This window comes from Homo sapiens, chromosome 8 (genome assembly GCF_000001405.40).
Source record: "Homo sapiens chromosome 8, GRCh38.p14 Primary Assembly".
Taxonomy (NCBI): Eukaryota; Metazoa; Chordata; class Mammalia; order Primates; family Hominidae; genus Homo; species Homo sapiens.
Genome location: NC_000008.11, coordinates 66,792,793 through 66,818,500, shown reverse-complemented (window position 1 = coordinate 66,818,500; position 25,708 = coordinate 66,792,793). Strand labels below are relative to the sequence as shown.

The 25,708-nt window shown below is 39.1% G+C and overlaps 2 protein-coding genes across 4 annotated transcripts in view; both read right to left on the bottom strand.

Annotated features, from left to right (window-relative positions):
* The window catches only part of C8orf44-SGK3 (C8orf44-SGK3 readthrough), a 194,427-nt gene that overhangs the window by 43,522 nt on the left and 125,197 nt on the right, over window positions 1-25,708 (bottom strand). The window contains exons 4-7 of the mRNA NM_001204173.2: window positions 24,669-24,885; window positions 19,876-19,959; window positions 14,054-14,126; window positions 4,573-4,648 (exon numbers count right to left, since the gene is read on the bottom strand). Coding sequence (NP_001191102.1) covers window positions 4,573-4,648; window positions 14,054-14,126; window positions 19,876-19,959; window positions 24,669-24,764 — 329 coding nt within the window. The 5' untranslated portion in view covers window positions 24,765-24,885. The remainder of the gene's footprint in view (window positions 1-4,572; window positions 4,649-14,053; window positions 14,127-19,875; window positions 19,960-24,668; window positions 24,886-25,708) is intronic.
* Window positions 1-25,708, bottom strand: part of SGK3 (serum/glucocorticoid regulated kinase family member 3) — a 149,242-nt gene that overhangs the window by 43,522 nt on the left and 80,012 nt on the right. For all 3 annotated transcript variants that reach the window (NM_001033578.3, NM_013257.5, NM_170709.3), the window contains exons 2-5: window positions 24,669-24,885; window positions 19,876-19,959; window positions 14,054-14,126; window positions 4,573-4,648 (exon numbers count right to left, since the gene is read on the bottom strand). In NM_001033578.3, coding sequence (NP_001028750.1) covers window positions 4,573-4,648; window positions 14,054-14,126; window positions 19,876-19,959; window positions 24,669-24,764 — 329 coding nt within the window. In that variant the 5' untranslated portion in view covers window positions 24,765-24,885. The remainder of the gene's footprint in view (window positions 1-4,572; window positions 4,649-14,053; window positions 14,127-19,875; window positions 19,960-24,668; window positions 24,886-25,708) is intronic.

Sequence of the window (25,708 nt, the reverse complement as noted above, 5' to 3'; positions counted from 1 at the left end):
TATAATTCAGTTACATTTATTTCTCATAATTTATTGAGCTGTACAGTCCTGATCTGGGCACTTTTCTCTTTGTTATGATGCAATAAAATTAAAATAAGGTATTTCTGCTTCCATTTCATTTCTTAAATACACAAGGAAATGTTTAGTTTCTCTGACAGTAAGCCATTTCTGTGTCCTTCTTTGTGAACCATTCAATGTGTTTTGTTCTGTTTTGTTTTGTTTTGGTGTGTCAAGTGTTTGCATGGGTTCCTTCTATGTTAAATGTATTTATCTATCGTCCTTTATCATGGAAAGCTTTTTCTATATTTTTGGTTTTCAATTTTACTTACTTATGATTTGGGGGTTCAAAAGTTTTGCTTTGTTTTTTTGCTTTTGCTGTTTTAGAGATGGGTCTCACTCTGCCACCCAGGTTGGACTGCAGTGGGATAATCACAGCTCACTGTAGCCTGGATCTCCTGGGCTCGGGTGATTCTCCTACCTCACTACCTCAGCCTCCTGAGCAGTTGGGACTACCGGCACATGCCACCATGACAGGCTGATTTTTTGCCTTTTTTTTCTGGAGAGGGGGTTTTGCCATGCTGCACAGGCTGGTCTTGAACTCCTGGGCTCAAGTGATCTGCCTGCCTTAGCCTCCCAAAGTGCTGGGAGTAAAGGCATGAGCCACCGTGCACAAAGTTTTTATTAGTCAAATTTTTCATTGTTTTACTTTGTGATAATGTCATTCACTGACAATATGCTCAGAAAACCCTTTTTCATCCAGAGATGAGAGAAATACTAACATTTTATTATAGTTTGAAAATGATTTTAAAATTTGTTTTTAATAAAGTAATCTTAAAAATTAGCTTTTTTGGCTGGGCGTGGTGGCTCACACCTACAATCCCAGCACTTCAGGAGGCCGAGGGGGGAGATAACTTGAGGTCAGGAGTTTGAAACCAGCCTGGCTAACATGAGGAAACCCTGTCTTCATTAAAAATACAAAAATTAGCCAGGTGTGGTGGCACACACCTGTGGTCCCAGCTACCCGGGAGGCTGAGGCAGGTGAAACTCCGTTTGTTTTTTTGTTTTTTTTTTGAGATGGAGTCTCACTCTGTCGCCAGGCTGGAGTGCAGTGGCACGATCTTGGCTCACTGCAACCTCTGCCTCCCAGGTTCAGGCGATTCTCCTACCTCAGCCTCCCAAGTAGCTGGGACCACAGGCACAGGCCACCATGCCTGGTTAATTTTTGTATTTTTAGTAGAGATGGAGTTTCACCATATTGGCCAGGATGGTCTCCATCTCTTGACCTCATGATCCGCCTGCCTCGGCCTCCCAAAGTGTTGAGATTACAGGCGTGAGCCACTGTGCCTGGCCAGAAGAAAAGCTATTTTAAAAGCACATTTCCTGCTGGGCACGGTGGCTCATGCCTGTAATCCCAGCACTTTGGGAGGCAGATCATCTGAGGTCAGGAGTTCCAACCCAGCCTGGCCCATTGATGAAACCCCGCCTCTACTAAAAATACAAAAATTAGCTGGGTGTAGTGGCTCACACCTGTAATCCCAGCTACTCAGGAGGCTGAAGTGAGAGAACTGCTTGAGCCCAGGGAGCGGAGGTTGCAGTGAGCCGAGATCACGCCACTGCACTCCAGCCTAGGCGATAGAGCGAGAGTCTGTCTCAAAAACATAAAAAATAAAAATAAAGTACGTTTCCTTAACAGTAATAACAGGTATATAGGAGGTGCTCAAGATACACTTGCTGACTGGCTTCTCTTCTTGCCCTCTTAAATTTCTACTGTCTTAAGAACAGCTTGATGTTCAAATGAAGAGCGTGAAAATTAAAATTCTGTCAACAGCAGAAAAGATCTAGAAAATAGGAAATGTTGGCCGGGTGCGATGGCTCACGCCTGTAATCCCAGCACTTTGGGAGGCCGAGGCAGGCAGATTACGAAGTCAGGAGATTGAGACCAACCTGACCAACATGGTGAAATCCCGTCTCTACTAAAAATACAAAAATTAGCCAGGCGTGGTGGCGCGCACCTGTAATCCCATCCACTTGGGAGGCTGAGGTAGGAGAATCACTTGAACCTGGGAGGCAGAGGTTGCAGTGAGCTGAGATTGCGCCACTGCACTCCAGCCTGGGCTACAGAGCAAGACTCCGTCTCACACACAAAAAAAAAAAAAAAAAAAAGGAAATGTCACATTTTGCTAAAAAGAAAATGCCAGTTAAAAAATTAAGTTTATCACGCCTGTAGTCTCAGCACTTTGGGAGGCCAAGGCGGGCAGATCATGAGGTCAGTAGATGAAGACCATCCTGGCTAACATGGTGAAACCCCGTCTCTACTAAAAATACAAAAAAAAATTAGGTGGGCGTGGTGGTGCGCCCCTGTAGTCCCAGCTACTGGGGAGGCTGAGGCAGGAGACTGGCATGAACCCAGGAGGCAGAGCTTGCAGTGAGCTGAGATCACACCACTGCATTCCAGCCTGGGCGACACAGTGAGACTCCGTCTCAAAAAAAAAATTAAGTTTAAAAAACTCTTGACTATTTTTGGGGTGCTGGAAATATCTTCTATCATGAATGGAATGGTGATGGTTACAGGGTGTATATATATTTAAAAATCCATTGAATTGTACACTCAAGAACTGTGTATTTCACAGTATAAGATTTTGGAAACTGGCAATTTAAAATAATCCAATTGCTTTTAGTTTAATTTTAATGCCAAATATAACATCTTTATAATACTGCACATCAAGATCCAGAATGAATACTTTATATATTATATAGTGTTAGGGGTTCTGAGTAACTTAAAATACTAGGAGAAGTAACAACCACTACCATTTATTGCATACTTATTCCATGCCCGCTCGTCAAAGGAAGAGACAAATTCAAGCTTTGAATGCATGAATTACATTTCACACAAGCCAGTAATATGCCAATTCAAAGTAATCTCCAATGTATACAGCAACAATTAGAGATAGAAGGGTGGGTCTAAGGTGAAGATAGCATAGCGTATATCCCCAGGAAAAGGCATAATGTTTAAGAAAATAAAAACAAAGAGCCAAATAGTAAGACTTTTTACTGAGGAAGAGACTAGACAAGGGAACTGTGAGTTCAAGTATCCTACCAAATTTCATGCCCTTCTGCCACCTGCCAGAGGTGGCAGAGGATACCTGTTCTTACTGCACTGTCTAATGCTGGTGTGACCACAGCTGTGAGACCTGCCTGACCCTTGCCTTACCTGGGAGCATCAGGGGAAATCCATATCTCTGACCAGAAGACCTTGTCAGAGGAGATCCAGTTTTAGCATTTTAGTAATTTAGTAAATTCAATTAAGTAAATTTAAAAAGCAGATCAGAGGGCCTGTTCAGAATAGTAGAAGGCCTCTGTGAGCTATAAAGAACCATATAAATGGTAATCATCATTTTTAGAACAATTACTCAAAAATACAGTTCTTCAATGTTGTGGTTCCGAAAAGACTGTTAAAGTGTGTCATATTTACACCATTGCCCATAGGCAACCTTTAGTTTACAGAGATAGGTGAGCTGCAGAAAAGCTCTCCAAATATTTTATCCTCTTCATTTCCTCTTAGAATACTTTATACATACAAGTACTATAACATAAATTACAAACCACAATAAATGTAATGAATACTCATAAACCAACTACCAGACTCAAAAATGAAAACACAAGCCAAACCATATATCTACCAATGTTTTTGTAGGTATTTCTGATACAACCCTCTATCTTCCTAGCTGGGAGCTACTGGCCTACAGAAAGAAGTTTAAACCTGTCCGCATGAGACACCCACAGGGCTGGGAAAGCGCCTTTATCTTAATGGCTGCTGGACTATTGTGTTGAGAAAGACTGGAGGCCTCATGTGGGTCAACAGAACACTGTCCCAAGTGAAGCAGAAATGGTGGCATGTGCACCCAACCCCAGACAACTCCTTCAATCTCGTCTTCTTTCCAAAAATCTACTCAGCTCCAGTCACCATGAAATGTTAAGTGTCCTGACGGTTCAGGCTTTCTGTATCCTGTTACGCCTGGAAAGCCTTCTTTTTTTCTCGAATGATTACACACCCTTTAAGTTGCAGGAAGCCTTCCTTACCTCCTCAAGAAGATATGCCTACACCTTTCTCTGCTATCTTCTAGCACCTCTATCATAAAAATTATCCAGCTTCAATTACTTGTTTATTAATATATGCCTGTTTTGCCCACTACACTGGGAGCCTGTGCCTCTGGACGGTAGGGACGACACTTAGCTTTATATTCCCAATGCAAGTAGCAGGTACTTAAATGCTTTTTGAAGGTATAGATAAAATATAATATCAAATAATTAGCAAGATGCTTTAATTTATTATGCAAATTCATTTCAAGTATAATCTATAAAACTAATGCAAGTACAAAAGGAAAAAAGAAAATAACTAAGATGAAGAGAAAAGGGGAGAAAGAGTATCAGGGAGAAAATGCTCAAAGAAGATTTTACAAACATATATAGCACAGTAACATTTCATAGAACAAACAAAATTTATATAAGGATTATTCAGTATTCTTAGGTTTAGTTTTAATGTCCCTTTAGAACGCAACAAAAATTACTTACTGGTTATAAAGTTCTGGATACCTAACTAGGTTCTGAATGAATTCGTTTAGTCCTGCTCGTCTTTGTTTAATAAAATCTGGAAGAGAGATATAAACTATTAGGATTATTTATGTCAGACTATGCAATTATCATCAACAGTTATATAATAGACAAGCACAAGATAGTGAATTTTGATTAAGAAGCTATTTTTAAATTCATGCTACTTGTCACACAAGGAATACATACTTAGAAATTATATATATGAATCATTGTATTTATAATATATAATTATATATTACATATATGTAGTTATATATTAAAATTAAGCAGACAATTTATCTCCAAAAAGAAAGTTCTCAAAACTGCCTATTATGGACTCTAAATAGACTAATTACAAAAATTGGAGAAGCACATTGCTTTGTCCAACTCCTCACGTACTACCAAACAATGAATAAAAATTAACACTATGACACTGATGACTGAAAATCACGGTAATTTAAAAAAATAAGGATTTCTGGAAATCCTTTGCAACTGGGCAATAATGATTAATTGGTTAACTGAATATCGCCAAAACTCTAGTTTAACTTCCACTGTGAAAAACAAACAAACAAAAAACCTTAAAAAAATGCACAGGCATACTTTCCTAACAAGTAATTGTACAGTATTTTCTTTTTAAAAATTTTTCTTTTTTCGTCTGAGATTGAGTCTTGTTCTGTTGCCCAGGCTGGAGTGCAGTGGTGTGATCTAGGCTCACTGCAACCGCTGCATCCTGGGCTCAAGCAACCCTCCTGCCTCAGCCTGCCAAGTAGCCAGGACTATAAGCATACACCACCATGCCTGGCTAATTTTTGTATTTTTTGTAGAGACAGGGTCTCACTATGTTGCCCAGGCTCATCTTGAACTCCTGGGCTCAAGCAATCCACCCTCCTCGGCCTCCCAAAGTGCTGGGATTACAGGCATGAGCCATTGTGCCCAGCCTGTCCAGTATTTTTGAAGTGTTTTGTTTGTTGATAATTGAAGCTCATGCAATAGCAATTTAGGAATAAATATTAAGCACAAACCTTTCTTTTCTTTGAAATACACACTTTTCTTGGAATTAGAAAACTTTATTCAAATATCTTTGTCTTTCCTACTTCCTAACCTTGAACTTTTCCAAGACTCATATTTTTACTTGTAAAATGTGGATAGTAACAATATTTATACCTCATAATGCTGTTATAGGATTAAATGAGATAATGCATCTAAGTTTATAGTAGCATGTTTGGCAGATGTTAAGAGTATTATTTATAGCTAATAATCATTAGATACTATTACTTTTGTTGTTGTTGTTATTATTAGTGGTTGGGGCGGTCTAAAAGCCATTATCCTAAACCCTCTTTTTTTTTTTTCTTTGAGACAAAGTCTTGCTCTGTCACCCAGGCTGGAGTGCAGTGGCGCGATCTCAGCTCACTGCAAACTTCACCTCCTGAGTTTCAAGCGATTCTCCTGCCTCAGCCTCCCGAGTAGCTGGGATTACAGGCACGCACCACCACACCTGGCTAATTTTTGTATTTTTAGTAGAGACGGGGTTTCATCATGTTAGCCAGGCTGGTCTTGAACTCCTGACCTTGTGATCTGCCTGCCTCGGCCTCCCAAAGTGCTGGGATTACAGGCGTGACCCACCGCACCCAGCCAATTCTTAAGAAATATACTCTAAAAACTTAACACATTTGATTTGAGAAACTGTCTCCTAACGGCAAATGTCTGGATAAAAACCCATAAAAAATATTCCACTTGACAATGAGTTTTGGTTTAGTAAACTTATTTCTACTGAATAAAGGTATAATGTATAGTGTTTGTCACCAAAATTATGGGTTATTTCCAGGTTTATTTCCATTTCTTAAATGTAAGGTATGGCTTCATACAAATATAAACAAATATAAAATCAGGTCTGGTCTTTTGGAGCCAGAAGCATGTACTTGGTACTTTTTTCTTGTTCGTCTAAGAATTCCTTGAAGAATTTCAGGTAGGTATCTCATTAAACTCTTCCAAGGACATTTATAATGTCACTAGGTAGCAAAGCACATGTGAAGTTTACATTAAAAACTGTAATTGAAACACAGTTATTTCTCGAGAACTGAATTTAGTAACATATGAAGAACTAAAATGAATGACTACATTTAGGATATTCAAAGAAAACCTAATAACTACATGGAAACAGCTTTAAATTGTTCTGTGGATGCTTACTGAAGATATATTTTACTTTTGAAGGCCAGTGTGAAGAGAGGAATTTCCTTTCTTCAGTGAGCTATAGCCCATGCTGCTCTAAGTGTTTCTAGGCTTGCCATTTCATTACTGACTAAACAGTTTCAAAATCACTATGTAAAGCCCTATATAAGAAGAAGTCCAGTAGCAGTCAGAATTCAGGGGCAATTCCAAACTTACTTTTTTAGATCAACACTAAGTTTGCAAATATCTGAAAAAATTCCAGGTAAGACTATAATGTATAGGATAAGTGCCAAGAATTTATATAAGGCCTATATATTAAGAACTATAGTTAGAAATATGTATTTTTAAAAATCTCTCCAATGAAGAAGTTACATGAATGTATCTGCTGGAATTCAAAGGAAATTTCAATTAGAAATTTTAAAAAGGCTGGGTGCAGTGGCTCACGTCTGTAATCCCACAGTTTTGGGAGGCCTAGGTAAAAGAATCACTTGAGGCCAGGAGTTTGAGACTAGCCTGGACAACATAGTGAGAGCATGTCTCTACAAAAAAATTTTAAAAATTAGCTAGCTGTGGCGACATACATCTGTAGTCCTAGCTACTCAGCAGGCTGAGGTGGGAGGATCACCTGAGTTGGGAGGCAGAGGTTGCAGTGAGCTGAGATCGCACCACTGTACTCCAGCCTGGGCAACAGAGACACTGACTCAAAAACATATATATAAATAAAGTTAAAAGTATGGTTTCCTCTGGGTGCATCCTATTAAAAAGTCGTTAAATTCATAATAAAATGTTAACAAAAAGTACAGGCAGAGATCATTCTTAAAATCAGCCTTCAAGTATGTAAGATGTATCTTATAGAGATTGGCAAACACTAGAATAAAGTAGACAAAAGAAAAAGAAGACATAGGCTTAAACTGCAGTATAAGAACTCAAAAAGATAAGCAAAAACCCCATAGAATGGCTACCAACCATGAGATAAGTTAAAAAGGGAATTTCAGAATGTTTTTCTCAGGTATGATTTTATTTATTTATTTATTTTCGTTGAGACGGAGTTTCATTCTTGTTGCCTAGGCTGGAGTGCAATGGCATGATTCCAGCTCACTGCAACCTCCACCTCCCAGGTTCAAGCGATTCTCCTGACTCAGCCTCCAGAGTAGCCGGGATTACAGGTGTATGCCACCACGCCTGGCTAATTTTTGTATTTTTAGTAGAGACGAGGTTTCAGCATGTTGGCCAGGCTGGTCTAGAACTCCTGACCTCAGGCGATCCACCCACCTCGGCCTCCCAAAGTGTTGGGATTACAGGCGTGAGCCACCGCTCCCAGCTGACTTTATTTTTAACTTTTTATTATGAAAAACTTCACAAGTACACAAAAGGTGAGAACCTTATTCGCCTACTTTAAAATTTATCAACATTCTGCTATTCCAATTTCATTTATCCTCATTCCTCACCTTTTATTTTTTTTTTTTCTGGAATATTTTAAAGCAATTCTCAGGCAGATTTTTGTTTTGTTTTTTTTGGTGTGGGGGGAATAAATCAGTGTGTATTTCTAAATGGCAGTATCTTTAAAAAAACAGTAAAGCCATGAAATCACTATCTCATAATGTCTATAAATTCTTTTATTTCCCTCCAATCAACAGGTAGAACTTAGTTCTTCTTCTCTCTTGAACGGGGGTTGGACTTAATGACTACCTTCTAATGAGCGGAATATGGTGGATGTAATGGCATGTGGCTTCCAAGACTAAGTCATAGAAGGCACCGAGGCTTCCTCCTTGCTAGCGCTCTTGGATCCCTCACTCTGGGGAAGCCAGCTGCCTTGGTGTAAGGACACGCAAAGCCCCTTAAGAAGAGGCCCACTCACAAGGAGCTGAGGCTTTCTACCAAAAACCATATGAGTGAGCCATCTTAGAAGCAGATCCTTCTGCCCTAGTAAAGTCTTGAAATCACTGATGATCTTTGCCTAGAACTATTAATTCATCAGAAGTTGTACGAGGATTTTCCAGTTCTATCATTCTGTGATTCTTCTATTTATGAACTGTGATTCTGCTATGAAGTATTTTCCAACATTATCTCTTTGGTACAAATAAATTACATTTCATACAACAAAGGCAAGATAAATCCTTGATTTTTTAATTTATTGATTTGGCGAATAAATTTACTCTCGTAACCTCTACAGCATTTCATAAGGTTTTTTTTTTCCCCAAACAAGCAAAGTAAATTGGAAAGTCTTTATACTGATGTGCTCTAACCTGCTATGATAATTACTTTCACCATTCTGTCTAATCTTTGCTCAGTGAAAGCCCCGACAACTGGGCTCCTGTGTTCTTTTGATCAAACTTCAGTCATCCTAAATAGCTTCCCTGCTTTCAGGCAAGCTGCCCTGAGATCATCTTGTACATTTCCTGCCCCAGATCTGGGATCACCATTTCTTCAGCAAACTCTGGTTCCTTTGAGAGGGAAATGGTATTTAGAGATCACAATCTGAATGCTAGGGGTGTTGGTTACTACTTGTTATTGCTTTTAGGCATTTCCAGGAGAGAGTGCTAGAAAATATTTTTACTAAGGTAAAAAAATAAATTATGAGCCAGGAGTGGTGGTGGTGTAATCCCAGCACTTTGGGAGGCTGAGGCCAGTGGATCACCTGAGGTTGGAGTTCAAAACCAGCCTGACCAACATGGAGAAACCCTGTCTCTACTAAAAATACAAAATTAGCCGGGCATGGTGGCACACGCCTGTAATCCCAGCTACTCAGGAGGCTGAGACAGGAGAATCGCTTGAACTGGGGAGGTGGAGGTTGTGGTGGGCCGAGATCACGCCACTGCACTCCAGCCTGAGCAACAAGGGAGAGCCTCTGTCTCAAAAAATAAATAAATAAATAAATAAATAATTATTTCAAACTATATTTCCAAATTAAGTTACAAATTACAGGATTTTGCTGAGTGCAGTGGCTCACGCCTGTAATCACAGCACTTTGGGAGGCTAAGGTGGGTGGATCACCTGAGGTCAGGAGTTCGAGACCAGCCTGACCAACATGGAGAAACCTCATCTCTACTAAAAATACAAAATTAACCAGGTGTGGTGGCGCATCCTATAATCCCAGCTACTCATGAGGTTGAGGCAGGAGAATCGCCTGAACTCAGGAGGTGGAGGCTGTGGTGAGCCAAGATCATGCCACTGCACTCCAGCCTGGGCAATGAGAGCGAAACTCCATCTCAAAAAAAAAAAAAAAAATTACAGGATTTTTACTTAAAATCTTTGATTTTGTTTGTATCACTTTCCTCTTCTGCTTAAAATCTTGGTTCCCATGACAGTAACATTAATCACAGAATAACAACGCCATATAACACTAATGAATGCAGTGTAAAATTTGTCCATGGGTTTTTGTTTTTATCCTTAGCAATATATCCCATGAAGAATATACAGTCAAAATCCCATGTTTTAAAGTTACTTAAATTAAGTTAGGTTTTTTCCTTCAGTTTATTTTCAGTTGTTAGAGGCTGCTTTGTTATTGCATTTTTATTTTTGTTTTTAAATTGTTTAAAATAGTACATGGTTCCAAAGTCAAAGGTATGAACAAAATTCATTCAAGGGCATCTAACTTCCACCCCTTTTGCCTTTCCCAATCTCTCCCTCATCCTTAAAGTCACTAGTTTTATTAGTTTTTTATTTATTCTTCCATTATTTCCTTTTGAATCCCCATACCTTTTCCTACAGAAAAAATACACACCATACAAACTCATTTGCTGCACTGTGATTTTTTTTTCCATTTAATGGTATATTCTGGAGATCACACCATAGCAAAATACATAAAGAGCTTTTTTGTTCCTTTTTACAAGTATGTTATATCTAGCTCCACTGGAAAAATATTTTCATTGTTTCCAGTTTTTCTGTTAAAAATTGTGTCACAATACACAGTCTTGTGTGTACATTATATCATATGCAGCTTATTTTAGGGACAGATTCCTAGAAATGTGATTTCTTGGCCAAAGTGGAAAATGCATTCACAGTTTTTCTAAACACTACCAAACTCCCCTCAACATGGATTGTAACACTTTTTATTCCACCAGAAAAATATGGGAATGCCTGTATCCCCAAAGTATAACCAAATGAGCATCTTATCCATCTCTGTTTTTCTGAATTTGACTTAGATCTGATTTCCCCAATGCAGGACTTTCTAATATCTCTGTGACATATGATCCTTTTCACTGTTGCCAAGTCATATTAAATATACGCAGGATAGACAAACAGCTCTTCAAAAAAATCAGTTTTTAGTGTCAATTAATTCATCAAAACAAAGTACCAAAGAGCATTCAGCCTGGTATCTTGCCTTTAACAATGAAGCAGCAATGTTGCCAGTCTTTTACTTCTTTGCTTTCTTTCCTTGATGAAATGATTGTCTTAAGGATTCAGTTAAGGGCTCTACAGAACTCCAACCCAAGTTCAAGTCTCATATTATCACTAGTAGTTTGATTTCTTAATATTTTTCTGCCACTTCTAATTAGTTAATTGTCTCAGTCACCCAGGGCAGACCCTCCAATTATCTCTCCTCTTCTCTATATGTGTTACCTAAGCAATCATCAAGATGTATTCCAGATTTTTCATTAAAGGAGTTCTTGTACATTGCTCATTTTTAAACCCTATTTCTACCCTAGTCCCCATACTCATTATCTAATGCCAGGGCTATTGGACTATTCCCTTAACAAGTCTCCCAGTCTCTCCTCTGCTGTGCCCACCATAAATTACACACTGTCAGTTTCACATCTTGCTCAAATGCCACTAAGGCCCACACGCTACCCATGAAGATGCTTTTCAACCTGTGCTCCAAGGAGATACTTCACTGTTATACCAATAAAGCAGCTCCATTTAAATTTTTTTCACATATTACATTTCCATAAGATTTCTTTTGTGTTTTCTTTTTTTTTTTTTTTTTCGAGACAGAGTCTTGCTCTGTTGCCCAGGCTGGAGTGCAATGGTGCGATCTTGGCTCACCTGCAACCTCCGACTCCTGGATTCAAGTGATTCTCTTGCTCCAGCCTCCCGAGTAGCTGGGACTACAGGCATGCACCATTATGCCTGGCTAATTTTTCTATTTTTAGTAAAGACGGGGTTTCACCATTTTGGCCAGGCTGGTCTTGAACTCCTGGCCTCAAGTGATCCGCCCACCTCAGCCTCCCAAAGTGCTGGGATTACAGGCGTAGCTACCATATCTGCTCTCTGTAAGATTTCAATTGGGAAAAAAGTGTTCCGCTGCGAAAACAAAGCAGGAGTACAAAAGCCACAGGTCTACAGAATATAATCTGGCTTTGTTGTGCCAACTCAATTTTCTCTTGCTTCTCTTTATTAATGGGTTCATATATTTAGTAATACTTTAAAACCTAGTATTTGCCAGTTTTAAAGTAATAAAATAATACCTTAAAACCAGTATATTGCCACTGTTCGCCAATAAAAAAAGACATAAGTCTGCACCTTCAGAAAATCTACAGCCTACTGTAAGACAGATTAGCAATTACAATGAAATGTGCTATATACTCCCAAGGGGGGAAAAAAAAGAAAGAAAGAGAGAAAAAAAAAACTCTGTATGTAACCAGGGAAGTAAGAACATTCTCCAAACCAGAGGTTCATAAAGTGTAAAGAATAATAAGCCTCCAGTTGAGAGGGCTATAGGCAAAGCAGCCTCTGGGGAAAAAATGTTTTAATTAAAGGAAGAATGTAGAAGAAATATGAAAAAGGTGCAGGATAAAGAGCAGTCCGTTAATGGTGGGCAGAATTATATAGGACACAGTGATATGGTCTGGGAGGAAAACGAATGGTATAAAGTTAGGATGGAGAGAGAAAGCACACTCAATATAAGGGACCTTAGAGCTTTTATCTTGAGTAGTGACCAAGATCTCTCTCTTTCTTTTCTTACACAGACATGTGAGGTATTATCAGTTTAACCAGTTACAAGGTTACAAGCAAATTAGTTGGGGAAGGAGGGCAATCCATTCAGGATTCATCTGTGGCAGAGATAGATGACTTTTCTGATAGAATTTCTGGTGGATAAGAAGACTTTTGTTTCCCTGTAAGTAGCCATCTGTGACCTGGATTAATCTCTTGGGTTCTAGGGGAAAATTCCATGCCTGCAGCTTTAGTCATAGAGGTGCTAGATGCTGAGACCCTCTGTGTCCATGGGTTCCCCAAGGGTAAGCAATAGGATGTCCCTCTCTCTTTTTTTTTTTTTTTTTTGAGATGAAGTCTCGCTCTGTCGCCCAGGCTGGAGTGCAGTGCTGCTGATCTCAGCTCACTGCAACCTCTGCCTCCCGGGTTCAAGCAATTCTCCTGCCTCAGCCTCCCGAGTAGCTGGGACTACAGGCGCCCACCATCATGCCCGGCTAATTTTTTGTAGTTTTAGTAGAGACGGGGTTTCACCGTTTTAGCCAGGATGGTCTCGATCTCCTGACCTTGTGATCCACCTGCCTCAGCCTCCCAAAGTGCTAGGATTACAGGCGTGAGCCACCGTGCCCGGCTTAGGATATCTTTTTGGTATCCCATTCAGAGGCCTACAAGTTACTATGTACACAGTATATATTTAATGTTTCTGAATACAAAAGTGAATATTCTTCATGATACTGATTTAAAGTCTGTAAAGTTTCCCAAATTAACCTGAAGGATCAATTAAAAAATTTTTTAATAGGGTCTCGCTCTGTCACCCAGCCTGGAGTGCAATGGCATGATGACAGCTCACTGCAGCCTTGAACTACTGACCTCAAGCTATCCTCTCGCCTCAGCCTCCTGAGTAGCTGGGACTACAGGTGCACGCCACCATGCCCAGCTAATCTTTAAATTTTTGTAGAGATGAGGTTGCCCAGGCTGGTCTCAAAACTCCTGGCCTGAAGTGATCCTCCTGCCTTGGCCTCCCAAAGTGTTTCGATTACAGGTGTGAGCCACTGTGCCCAGCCCATTGACAGATAAATTTATATAGAAGTCAGACTGCTTGAATTTAACTTCCACATCTGCCCTTTACTATCTGTATGTGGTCCTGGGCAAATTAATGAACCTGTGTTTTATTTCCTTATCTATAAAAATAGTGATAACAACAATACCCACCTCACGAAGTTGTCAGGATCGAATGAATTAAAACACATGAAGTACTTAAAACAATGCCTAGTAGACAGTAAGCACCTTCCTGCGGCATTATTTTCACAGAGCATAAGATCTTTTAAAGTCCTGCACTGCTATACAGTGCAATGAATACATTAATTTACTTCTTCAAACTTCAACAATCACTTCATAGCTGGCCTATGAAGTTGTTTCTTACCTGGATCAAAATTATCACCAAATATTCTCTTGGCAGGAATCTTCAGGGCCATAGCAGGAAACTGTTTTTTTAACTAAAATTTTTAAAAATAACATTATATGAACTAATTTTATAAGTCTTCTAGTTATGCACACATCAAAGCCAAATACAATCTTATTTTAAAGAAAATCCATCATAAGACATACTTTTGAATTTATGATCATCCAAAGTATAACATAAATTATACCAATAAAATGTCACAAACTAATCGTCTTTTTTAGTCCCAATAAAATACCTAGTATCGTGTGACCTAGGATAAAATACTCAACATCTGCGTCTCATTTTCCTGCCTATAAAATGAGGATAATTTTAACAATGACCTTACAGATTTGCTGTGAGTTTTAAAGGAGATCATGTATGGCAAGTGCTAAGGCTAGAACGTGCTGTTACAGTTCCAAATACATATTACTCATTTATTATCTTAGGAGAAGATATGATCTTGGTGTTTTCTCTACATGAATAGATTGACAATAAATTTCTAAGAAAGCAGATGAATTTTGCTTTCAATACCCTATCTGCTCTAACCTTCCCCTTATTGATATTCTAATAAGTGAAACTTCGTCTCTAAAAAATAAAATAAAAAAAAAAGCCAGGCATGGTGGCATATGCCTGTGGTCCCAGCTACTCCTAAGGCTGAGGTGGGAGGATTGCTTGAGCCTGGAAGGTTGGGGCTGCAGGGAGCCATGATTATGCCACTGCACTCCAGCCTGGGCAACAGACACCATGTCTCAAAAAAAATAATTATATATATATTCTAATACATTTGTTTATCAGATATGCTTGTCTTCAGAGAAGGAAAACTCGGCCCTGAAGAAATTAAATTTGGGGCAGTTAAGTCATAAAAATGAGTTATATTTTCATTATAAGTTTGATGTCAAAAATACACACACACATGTAAAAACTGTATCTTAGCTGAGCACAGTAGCTCACTGAGGCCTGTAATCCCAGCACTTTGGGAGGCTGAGGTGGGAGGATCACTTGAGCCAGGGAGGTCAAGGTTGCAGTGTGCCGTGATTACGCCACTGCACTCCAGCCTGGGTGACAGAGCAACAACCTGTCTCACCAAAAACAAACAAACAAAAACACCCAAAAACAACACCTCTAACTGCCAACTGATAGGAAATACAAAGAACAGAGGAATGTACTAATCACTTTACAGCATGGGGCACGCTGTCAGTAAAATGCAGACTGAAAAATACGTAAACAAATGACCTTGTTGTTTTTCATACACACACACAAAAAATGTGTAAAGGAAAGAAAAGAAAGGCAGAGGGGGAACCTAGTGATTAAATGACACTTAACAGACTTATCAATCAGTCACATAAACCTTAATTGGATATCCAATATTAAGGCACTGCTGTTCATTTATTTTTAGATGTGGTAATGATATTGTGTATATGTTTTGTTTTTAAGAATCTTTATCTTTTAAAGATGTATACTAAAATATTTACAGATGAAACGATATGATGTCTGAAATTTGTGTCAAAATTATGGTGGGCTGGTGGGCTGGCTAGGGATAGAGATGAACCAGGAATGGCCACGTATCAGTAATTATTGAAGCTGGATGGTAACATAATGTTATTTTCTGAATTGGTACTAGTATGTCACTTCTGTATGTGTTTGATAATTAACCTTCCTTCCTTCCTTCCTCCTTCTTCCTTCCTACCTGCCTTCCTTCCTTCCTTCGCCCCCTCCCCTTCCCTCCCCATCCCCTTCTCCCTCTCTCTTTCTTTCTTTTTTCCCTTAAGATAGTGTCTTGCTCTATCACCCAGGCTGGAATGCAGTGCTGACCTCCTGGGCTCAAGTGATCCTCCCCTCAGCCCCCTGAGTAGCTGGGACCACAGGCACACACCACCACACCTAGCAAGTTGTCTTATTTTTTGTAGAGACAGTCTCATTATGTCATTGCCCGGGCTGGTCTTGAACTCCTGAGCTCAAGCAATCCTCCTGCCTCAGTCTTGCAAAGTGCTGGGATACTAGTTGTGAGCCACTGTTCCTGGCCTGTGTTTGACAATTTCTATAATAAAAAGTTTAAAATATAAACTAGTCATAAAGGACACATTGAAGTTGACAATTAAAATGCCTAGAGATTTTTTTCTTTTCTTTTATTCTAAAAGGACAGAAAAATAATTTGTGTTTTTGAACTTAGGGAAATCCAGACCAGGTTCAACCTGATTTCTGTAGTTTCAAAGAATCCAACCAATAACTATTTTCCTATTTTTTTCTTTGCCCCTCACCACAGGAGGCAGAATTAGAAGGAGGTACATAAAAAGAGAGAGACATAGAAAGTGATGAAATAAGAACAATGAAAAAAGGGTGAAAAGAAATACAAAAGAAATTAGGGAGATGAATGATAAAAACTGAACTACAAGTTAAGGAAACTCTTCTACAAAAAATCCAAAGATGGAATGTTTCACAGAAGAGAGAATGAAAGTAATCATGGATGGAGGTACCCCAAACAAGTTTTCCTATTTTATTTTTATGCTTACAGATACTCAAATATTAACAATTTAATTAATCACCAGCTATTAAAATCATGAAAACATCATGAACACACACTACCGGTGTGGATCTCCACAGTGCTGAGTTTTTAGATGACATTCCCTACACCCCTTCCTCTATGAAGAGTTTCACAAAAGACGTCTTTAGAAGGTAAATCTAGCCTATGAAATATTTTAAGCAAAAGACAGAAAGAAGTCTCAAATGTATGTGGTGTATGTGGGGTGTGTGTGTGTGTGAGAGAGAGAGAGAAAGAGAGAGGGAAAGAAAGACACAGAGACAGAGACAGACAGACACTACAGTCATGTCATTTTTACCCGAGCATAACCCAGGCATCCTGGTGGGTACAGTTGGATTTACACACTCCTCAAAGACATGCTGAACATGCAAATAATGGGTATTCAAGAGTTTCAAAATGAGCTAACATTGCAACCCAAACTCAGCCTCCAAAATAAGCCATTTTTTAAAAAATCACTAAAAACTTATGAAAGATATTTCCATGTACAAACTCTCATTGGCTGTTGTTTCAACAGTGTAACCTTAATTACAGAAAAAAAACCTATCTCAATATCCTTTGATTAAGCAAATATCTAAAACTATACAGGTTGAATATCACAAATCTGAAAATCTGAAATGCTCCAAAACCAATAACTTTTTGAGTGCTCAAAGGAAATGCTCACTGGGGCGTTTCAGATTTCAGATTTTCAGATTTGGGATGGTTAACTGATAAGTATAACTCAAATATTCCAAAATTTGAAAAAATTTGAAATCCAAATCACTTCTGGTTCCAAGTATTTCAGATAAGGGATACTCAACCTGTATTTAGTAAGTGCAGTTGCGTGTGCATTAAAGAAAAGCTAAAGAACAGAAGAAAACAGTAAAATGTTAACAGTTATTTCTGAGTAGCAACATTATAGGTGTTTTGTTCTTGTTTTTGTTTTGAGACAGGGTCTCAAGGGTGTAGTGGCATGGTCATGGCTCATTGCAGCCTCAACCGCCCAGGCTCAAGTGATCCTCCTACCACAGCCTCCAAAGTAGCCAGAACTATAAGGCATGTGCCACTACACCCAGCTAACTTTTTATTTTTATTTTTTTTGTAGAGATGGAGTCTCCCTATTAATTTTACATAGGCAAAAATAAATATTTTTAAATTGTAGTATTATCTTCAGAAATTCAATTTCAAGTAGCAAGTGATTTGAATATTAGGAACAAATACATACATAGTGAAATGCTAAATAAAGATGAATCAGAAATCTAATTTTCATGACTTAACAAAACACAGGAAGTGGTACAGCTAGACATTGTTTGATTTATTCTGACCCATTTAGGAATTTATCTCTTAATTGATATATATGTGTAACTTTCCTCATATTCAAAAATATCTTACAAATAATAACCCACAGGCATATATTTATTCCTATGTTTAAAATCAAGAGACAAACATGGCACATGTATACATATGTAACAAACCTGCACGTTGTGCACATGTACCCTAAAACTTAAAGTATAATAAAAAAAAAAAAAAAAAAAGAAATGAAAAAACTCCCCCCCCGCCACTTTTTTTTTTTTGAGAGAGAGTCTCGCTCCGTCACCCAGGCTGGAGTGCAGTGGCACAATCTCGGCTCACTGCAACCTCTGCCTCCCGGGTTCACGCCATTCTCCTGCCTCAGCCTCCCAAGTAGCTGGGACTACAGGCGCCCACCACCACGCCTGGCTAATTTTTTGTATTTTTAGTAGAGACGGGGTTTCACCATGTTAGCCAGGATGGTCTCGATCTCCTGACCTTCTGATCCACTCGCCTCAGCCTCCCAAAGTGCTGGGATTACAGGTGTGAGCCACCGTGCCTGGCCCAAAATTCCCTTCTTAAATATATAACAAGAGTTTTTCCAGAGGATGCCTAGTAATCTACCATTCATTAAACAATGACACTGGGAGATCCCTATTTACTATTACATGAGAGCAGAGGAATTTCAATTTGGGATTTGAGGCCAAGGGCAGTGGCTCATGCCTGTAATCTTAGCACATTAGGAGGCCGAGGTGGGCGGATCACATGAGGCCAGGAGTTTGAGACCAGCCTCGCCAACATGGCAAAACCCCGTCTCTACTAAAACTACAAAAACACTAGCCAGGCGTGGTAGCTCACGCCTGTAATCCCAGCTACTTGAGAGACTGAGGCACGAGAATCACTTGAACATGGGAGGCAGAGGTTGCAGTGAGCCAAGATCGTGCCACTGCACTCCAGCCTGGGTGACAGCGCAAGACCCTCTCTCAAATAAATAAATAAATAAATACATTGGGGATTTGAGGCACAATTGCTTTTGTTCTTAACTGAAGCAAAGCTTTAAATCCAGGACTGTCTTAATGACCTGGAGTTCCATAATAGCTATTAGTAACTCAAGAGGCATGCTTTAGCTTCTACGTATGATCTTCAAGGCAACACTATCCACAAACACTGCTACCTGTGGAAGATATGGTATTATAGTGACTGTGGTGGTCTTGCTGCCTTTATTTTTTTAGATGGTGTCTTGCTATATTGCCCAGATGGCAGTGCAGTGGGGCAATCATGCTCACTGGTACCCTCTCAACTCCTAGGCTCAAATGTTCCTTCTGCCTCAGCCTCTCAAAGTGCTGGAATTACAGATGTGAACCATCGTGCCTGGCTCTTTGCTGCCTACTTTAGCAAGTATGTACTGTATGTACTGCCATCAGTAGATTATGAATTCTATTTAATATCTGAGTTATGAAAATATAAAAACAGGTTGTAGTAATTTAAATAGCTAATGGTCTCTTAGATCTTACCACCTAGGTAGCTGTCAGAACTCTAAAAGTCAACACTCATTTCAATTGTGTTAGCTACTTAAAATCTGGAACCTAAGACATATCTCTAAGAATGGAAACAAAGTATGGAAGGGAGATAGGTTCATGACAGACTTTCAAACATAAAGCTTACAGTAGGCAATTTAACCAGAAATACCATGATGATTAACAATTATCAGAGAGGTAGGTAGAAAGAACTGACTTATAATTTTCTATGACATTAAAAGGTATTTTATCTAGTTCTCATATTTTTAATGGTTTATTTGGAATTGTTCAGCAGTCCTCTCTCTACCCTTTCTTTGAAAGCATTCCAAAGTTAGGATGTTTTTGAAGAATCTCTTACCTTTGTCTGCCTGTCTGACATATTAACATATGAGTATCAATTTAATCATTCAAATACATCTCTCTTATTTTGGGTTTTCTCGGGTGCTTTCTTTTAATTAGAAATCTTGTAGACGATTACTTACAGTGTTATAAAGTTTATCAAACTCTGCATATCTCCTGAAGACAAACCATTCACTTCTTCCCACTGAAACCAGAACTTTATAAACCTGTGGAAATAAAAAATTACATAATATAACACAATTTAATTGCAAAAAACCCATTAGCTACTTAAATACATGAAACCTGTTTTAATTTTTTTTTTTTTTTGAGACAGTCTGGCTCTTTCACCAAGGCTGATGTTTTCATATTCCGAAACTGATATTAACATTTTTATATGATTCTCTAAGATACATAAACATACCAATTAAAGCACTTATTGAATCTTGTCAAATGGTATTCTTGGCTGGGTTCAGTGGGTCATGCCTGTAATCTCAGCACTTTCTGGGGCTGAGGTGGGAGGATTACTTGAGCATAGGAGCTGGAGACCAGCCTGGGCAACATAGGGAGACCCCGTCTCTACAAAAAATTTAAAAATTAGCTGGGCATGGTGTACACGCCTGTAGTCCCAGCTACTCAGGAGGCTGAAGTAAGAGGATTGCTTGAGCCCAGGTAAGTCGACGCTGTAGTGAGCTGAGATCACACCACTGTACTCCAGCCTGAGTGTCAAAGCGAGATCATGACTTGGAAAAAAAAAAAAAGTGGTTTCTTGTGATGGGAAGAAAATGAGGTCAGAAAAAAATAGGTGATATTTTATTTTTCAAATGTTACAAAATATTTCTGTAATTTTCAGGGAATAACATAGTCAACACTCATGTGCTCATTATTTGGATCTATTGAATTCTAACATGTTGCCATTCTTGCTTCAGATTTTTTTTGCCAAAGAATAAAATACGATAGATTCAACTGTTGCCACTTTCCTCTCTTCTTCCCTAGCAGTAATTACTACCTGGAACTTACAAAGTATTTTCAAAAGTGATACTTGCTACATAAAAAACCTTCAATTGTTAGTTCTCTTCCTTCTAGGTCATCTTTCACATAGTAGTTTTCAAACTATTAATAAGAATTTATCCTCAGATTTCCTAGTATTATCTTCCATGTTCAATATTTTCAAATATACATAACCTCATATAATCATAATCAACAACCCTATGAAGTAAGCAGAACAAATATTACAACCCCCCACTATACATGAGACACCCTACATGAGCTGCAGGATGGTAATCTGGCCCTTTTGGTCTTAACCGAGAAGGAATCTGGTTGTCTCAGAGGAAGCTATTATGTGTAAGATGTTAGAATTAATTTGATACCTCCCACATGGACAGCATGCAGAAGTAGAGGGCAAAAAACCTAGCCAAGGTGCCAGCGACGCTGAATAAGACTAGACAAGAGATTATCTCACACGGCACTGGGATCAGACAAGCCTAGAAGCAGAACTGCTGTAAGAGAATAAAACACTTAGGTTTATATGATTGTGAGTTTCTTGAATTATCTGTGCTGACTCGGTGAGAAGAATGGATCTTAGAAAGTTCAGGTGGCCTCCCCTGGCTACCCAAATACAGCCAAGACCAGGAGCAAGTCTACGTTACAAGCTGGAGAAGCTCTGCAGCAAATATATTTACAGAAGACAAATAAAGCCTTGTAAAATTATGAATTAACAGCATGATTTATAAACAAGTGCTTATTAAATATGTACTAATAAAACAGTAGACAAAAACAAAAAACTATTCAAATCCTTAAAAATATTTCCATTGGTAAAAAAAAAAAAAACAAGATTAGATTTCCTGTGAAATCCTTAGATTTCACAGGAAACAGTACAATACTTAATACAATATGACATTATCTTATTTGCATATTTCCTTATTGTCTGTCTTGTCCCTGTATAATGAAAGTTCCTTGAGAGCTAGGGTTAACGTCACTCTTGTTCCACTGTATCTGCAGTGCCTAGAACATAACATAGAAACTCACAATTTGTCAAGTGGATAAATAAAAATATAATTTAGACTTGGTTTAAGTCAAGACACCTAGAATGCAACACATTTCCCTGTTAGAAGCTTCATGGTATAGAACTACATAAACTACCTATGAAAACTAGAGTATAAAAATATTATCAAGGCTGGGTGTGGTGGCTCATTCCTGTAATCCCAGCACTTCGGGAGGCTGAGGCAGGAGAATCACTTGAGCCCAGGAGTTCGAGACCAACCTACTCAACATACCAAGACCCTGTTTCTATTAAATTTAAATTCAGGCTGGGTGTGGTGGCTCATGCCTATAATCCCAGCACTTTGGGAGGCCGAGGTGGGCGGATCACGAGGTCAAGAGATAGACTTTGCCAACATGGTGAAACCCAGTCCCTTCTAAAAAAAAAAAAAAAAAAAAAAAAAAAAAAATACAAAAAATACAAAAAATTAGCTGGGCGTGGTGGCATGCATCTGTAGTCCCAGCTACTTGGGAGGCTGAGGCAGGACAATAGCCTGAACCCAGGAGGTGGAGGTTGCAGTGAGCCAAGACTGCACCACTGCACTCCAGCCTGGCGACAGAGCGAGATTCTGTCTCAAAAAAATAAATAAAATAAATAAAAATATTATCGATAACATGAGTACCCAGGCTGAACACAGCATCTGTGTTGGGTGGGATGGGGTCTATCTGCACTGACAGAATCAAATTTCTTGAGGATTGAGGACTGCACTGTAGTGACCAGCAAATAACAGATGAACAATTCAACAAATACTTATTTGAATTCCTACTATCTTTGTTCTAGGGCTGGTGAAACAATAGTGAAGAAGTTCTTGCTTCAAAGAACCTTGCATTCTACTCAAAGAAGGCACATATAAACAAACATAAAATGTGGCAGGAGGGAAAGCAGGATAGAGAGTGAGAGGGGTAGGGTGGGGTGTGAAGGTGCTATTTTTTATAGGGTGGTCAAAATATGCCTCTCTAATAAGGCAATATTTGAGAATTTGAAGGAAGTAAACGAATAAGGTGATTTAGATAGGGCCTTTGAGAACTCAGTGCACAGCCTAAGAACAGCTGGGTAAGAGAAATGCTACAGGTCTCCTCGACCATCCCACAGAAGACATGGAAATAACCTCCAGCCTGGAAAATCAAAGGACACGAGATAACTGCTGCTGACATTTGCTATGTGTGAACTTCCATCAAACTTGGCAGGAGGTATCCCCTCGAGAAAAGAATGGCCCAAAGGCAAAAATAAGGAGAGGGAAGGAAGGAAGAAAAACTTTCACACACTCTACCATTTTATTCAAGGTATATCAACCTTTGTTTACCTTCAATGTGATACTGCTAAAAATTTGCTTATACAAATGTGCAACAAATGCCTACTGTTGAAGATATTCCTGCAATATAGAGGCTGAGAAGGGGTCAATGGTCAGACGCACATTGCAATTTCTCTGCTCTGGGATGTGGTACCAAGTGTGGCAGGTGTGTCTGTTAAGGAAGAGAGGACAGAGGGACTGCTTTCCCTGCTTCTTGTCTGGGACCTTGAGAGAAAACCATCATTTTCCGGCACTCAGCCCCACCTAGTTAAGAAGGCAGAGAGATTTCCTCAACTGCCCTGTGACAGGGATTCTGAATTGAAAGTCACCTGTCATGGGACTCAACTGGCAGTGACCAGGTAACCCCCTTTTTAGAGGCTGGGGTGGATCACTGAGCCAGGAGCAGGTGAAGGACATGTCAGAGCCTCAGGGGGCTCTACAGCTATCAAGGGCCAAGGTACTGAGTCAGTGGTGAGTTGCCGCAAGACCCTGGTCAAGCCAACAAAGAGATCACAGGTTAGTTCATCAACTGCAGGTGTCAGCAATGGATGCCAGCAAAATGCCCAGGTTACCAGGTCAGTCATAGCAGGCTATTTGCCAGACCAGCCACTTTATAGCTCAAATGGCAAAGATCTAGAGGGACGACAAGAACTCAAGAGGCTTCACCAGGCTACCATGAGGTCATTCACCAACTCAACAATACTGTGAAAGGGGACACCTCTCCTCCCATAAACCATGATGCCAACCTGAGGAGGATGCGTGTTCAAGTAAGAGAAAGAAAGTAGAAGTAAGAGAGGCTAAGCATTTTATCCTGAGACCTGGTTAAATTATTAGATAGACTAAGTATTAAACAGAATTGGGCTAAATGAATTTCTTCATATTACTCAGTAGGTGAGGGGGGTGGGGAGTTACAAGGAAGAGCAGATCAGTAATAGACACAATAAGTGGCTTTTTTTTTTTCAGGGGGAGGAGGGCACAAGACCTCTGTATATACTAATAGGACTACTGAAACTAAATACAATATTGTATGTTTCAGCACACTAATTAGAAAAGTGACTATTCTCCAATAATAAAAACTGATACACAGATTGAGCAAATATTCATTGTGCTTACTCTTTATAAAGCCCTATAGTAGATACTACAGTGATAAACGATAAAATTAGAAATGGCTTAGCCTTTAAGGTGAAAAAAATAAAATACTGAATTAAATATTTTAAAACTGAGAGATACTATAAACATTTCAGGACAGTAGTTCTTAATATGGAATCGATGACTTCAGGAGTCCATTAATTCCTGACAGTGCACACAAAATTATAAGTGTGTGCATAGATCCATGTGTATGCACATGCACATTTTCTGTTAAGAAGATTAATTAGATAGTTTCATACAATTCTCCAAGAAGATAAGTAAAGAGACACTAAAAAAGGAAAATTTATTCCATTACGGTAGCCACAGAAGACTTTGTGGAGAACAGATCATGTGAAAGAAGTAAAATCTAGGTATGTGGAGATGGGGAAGGGGGTGTTCTAGGTTGGAGAAGAAAAGCAGAAATGAAAATATTCTCTACATTCAACTTTTTTCCCACATGCTTTATGTTAAATACTTACAGTAAACCTCTTCTTTTTCTCTCTGTGTTCATCGGAGCTGGGAATGCTTACACTTGGGCAGCTTTCCTTGTAGTCCATGGTGTGATCTCTTTGCATTTAATCCCTCAAGAGCACACCAAAAAATGCATCCGAAGAAACAGTCAGCAGAGGACAAACCCAATTAACTAATCCAAAATACAAAACCTCTTGAAGTAATGTTCAAATTCCATCATGCAACCTTAACCAACAGAAAAAAAAAAAAGTGATTAGCAAAACAACTTTAAAATACTATGACTGTCATTCTTTAAGCATGGGACTAATTTTCGTTTATTCTGATAGGAACCTACTTTTGCTCATCAGTCTCAGCCCAGGTTAGAGATTTAGTTTGTTATGTTCCTACTACAAGCCACAAATATCTGCAGCCCATCTACCTTTCTTACTATTAGGAAATTCTAGGAACTTACACACCTCAGTTCACGTAGGCTAGGGACTAACTCTCACCTAGAAAAGATCTAGTTGGAGGTAACCAAAGTGTGGTTTTCAGACTTCTTGTATCAGGATGAACTGGTCAAGTGTGCTGAACAATTCAGATTACAATCCTGTATAGTACATAACTATTTACTCATTTTACAAATGAGGCAACTGAAACACAGAGAGGTGAAATAATTCGTACATCCCGGATTTGAACCCAGGCCATCTGACTCCAGAGTTCCAACTCTTAACCACTGTACTATGCTGCATTATAACTGTGGATGATTCTTTTGTACTGAACCTCTGGTCAGAGACACTACAGTAGATCTTCCTACAAAATAAATGTAGTATGTTAATATCATCCCACCCCATGAACAAAGGGCTAGAGATGTCACACTGATGTCACCTTTGCTACACACAGCAGCCCATACTCTGACACCACATGACACCAAATAATACCTTTCTTTTAGAGACAGGGTGTTGCTATGTTGCCCAGGCTAGAATGCAGTGGCTATTCACAGGTGCAATCATGCTGCACTGCAGCCTCAAACTCCTAGGCTCAAGAGCACACCAAAAAATGTTCCTGCTTG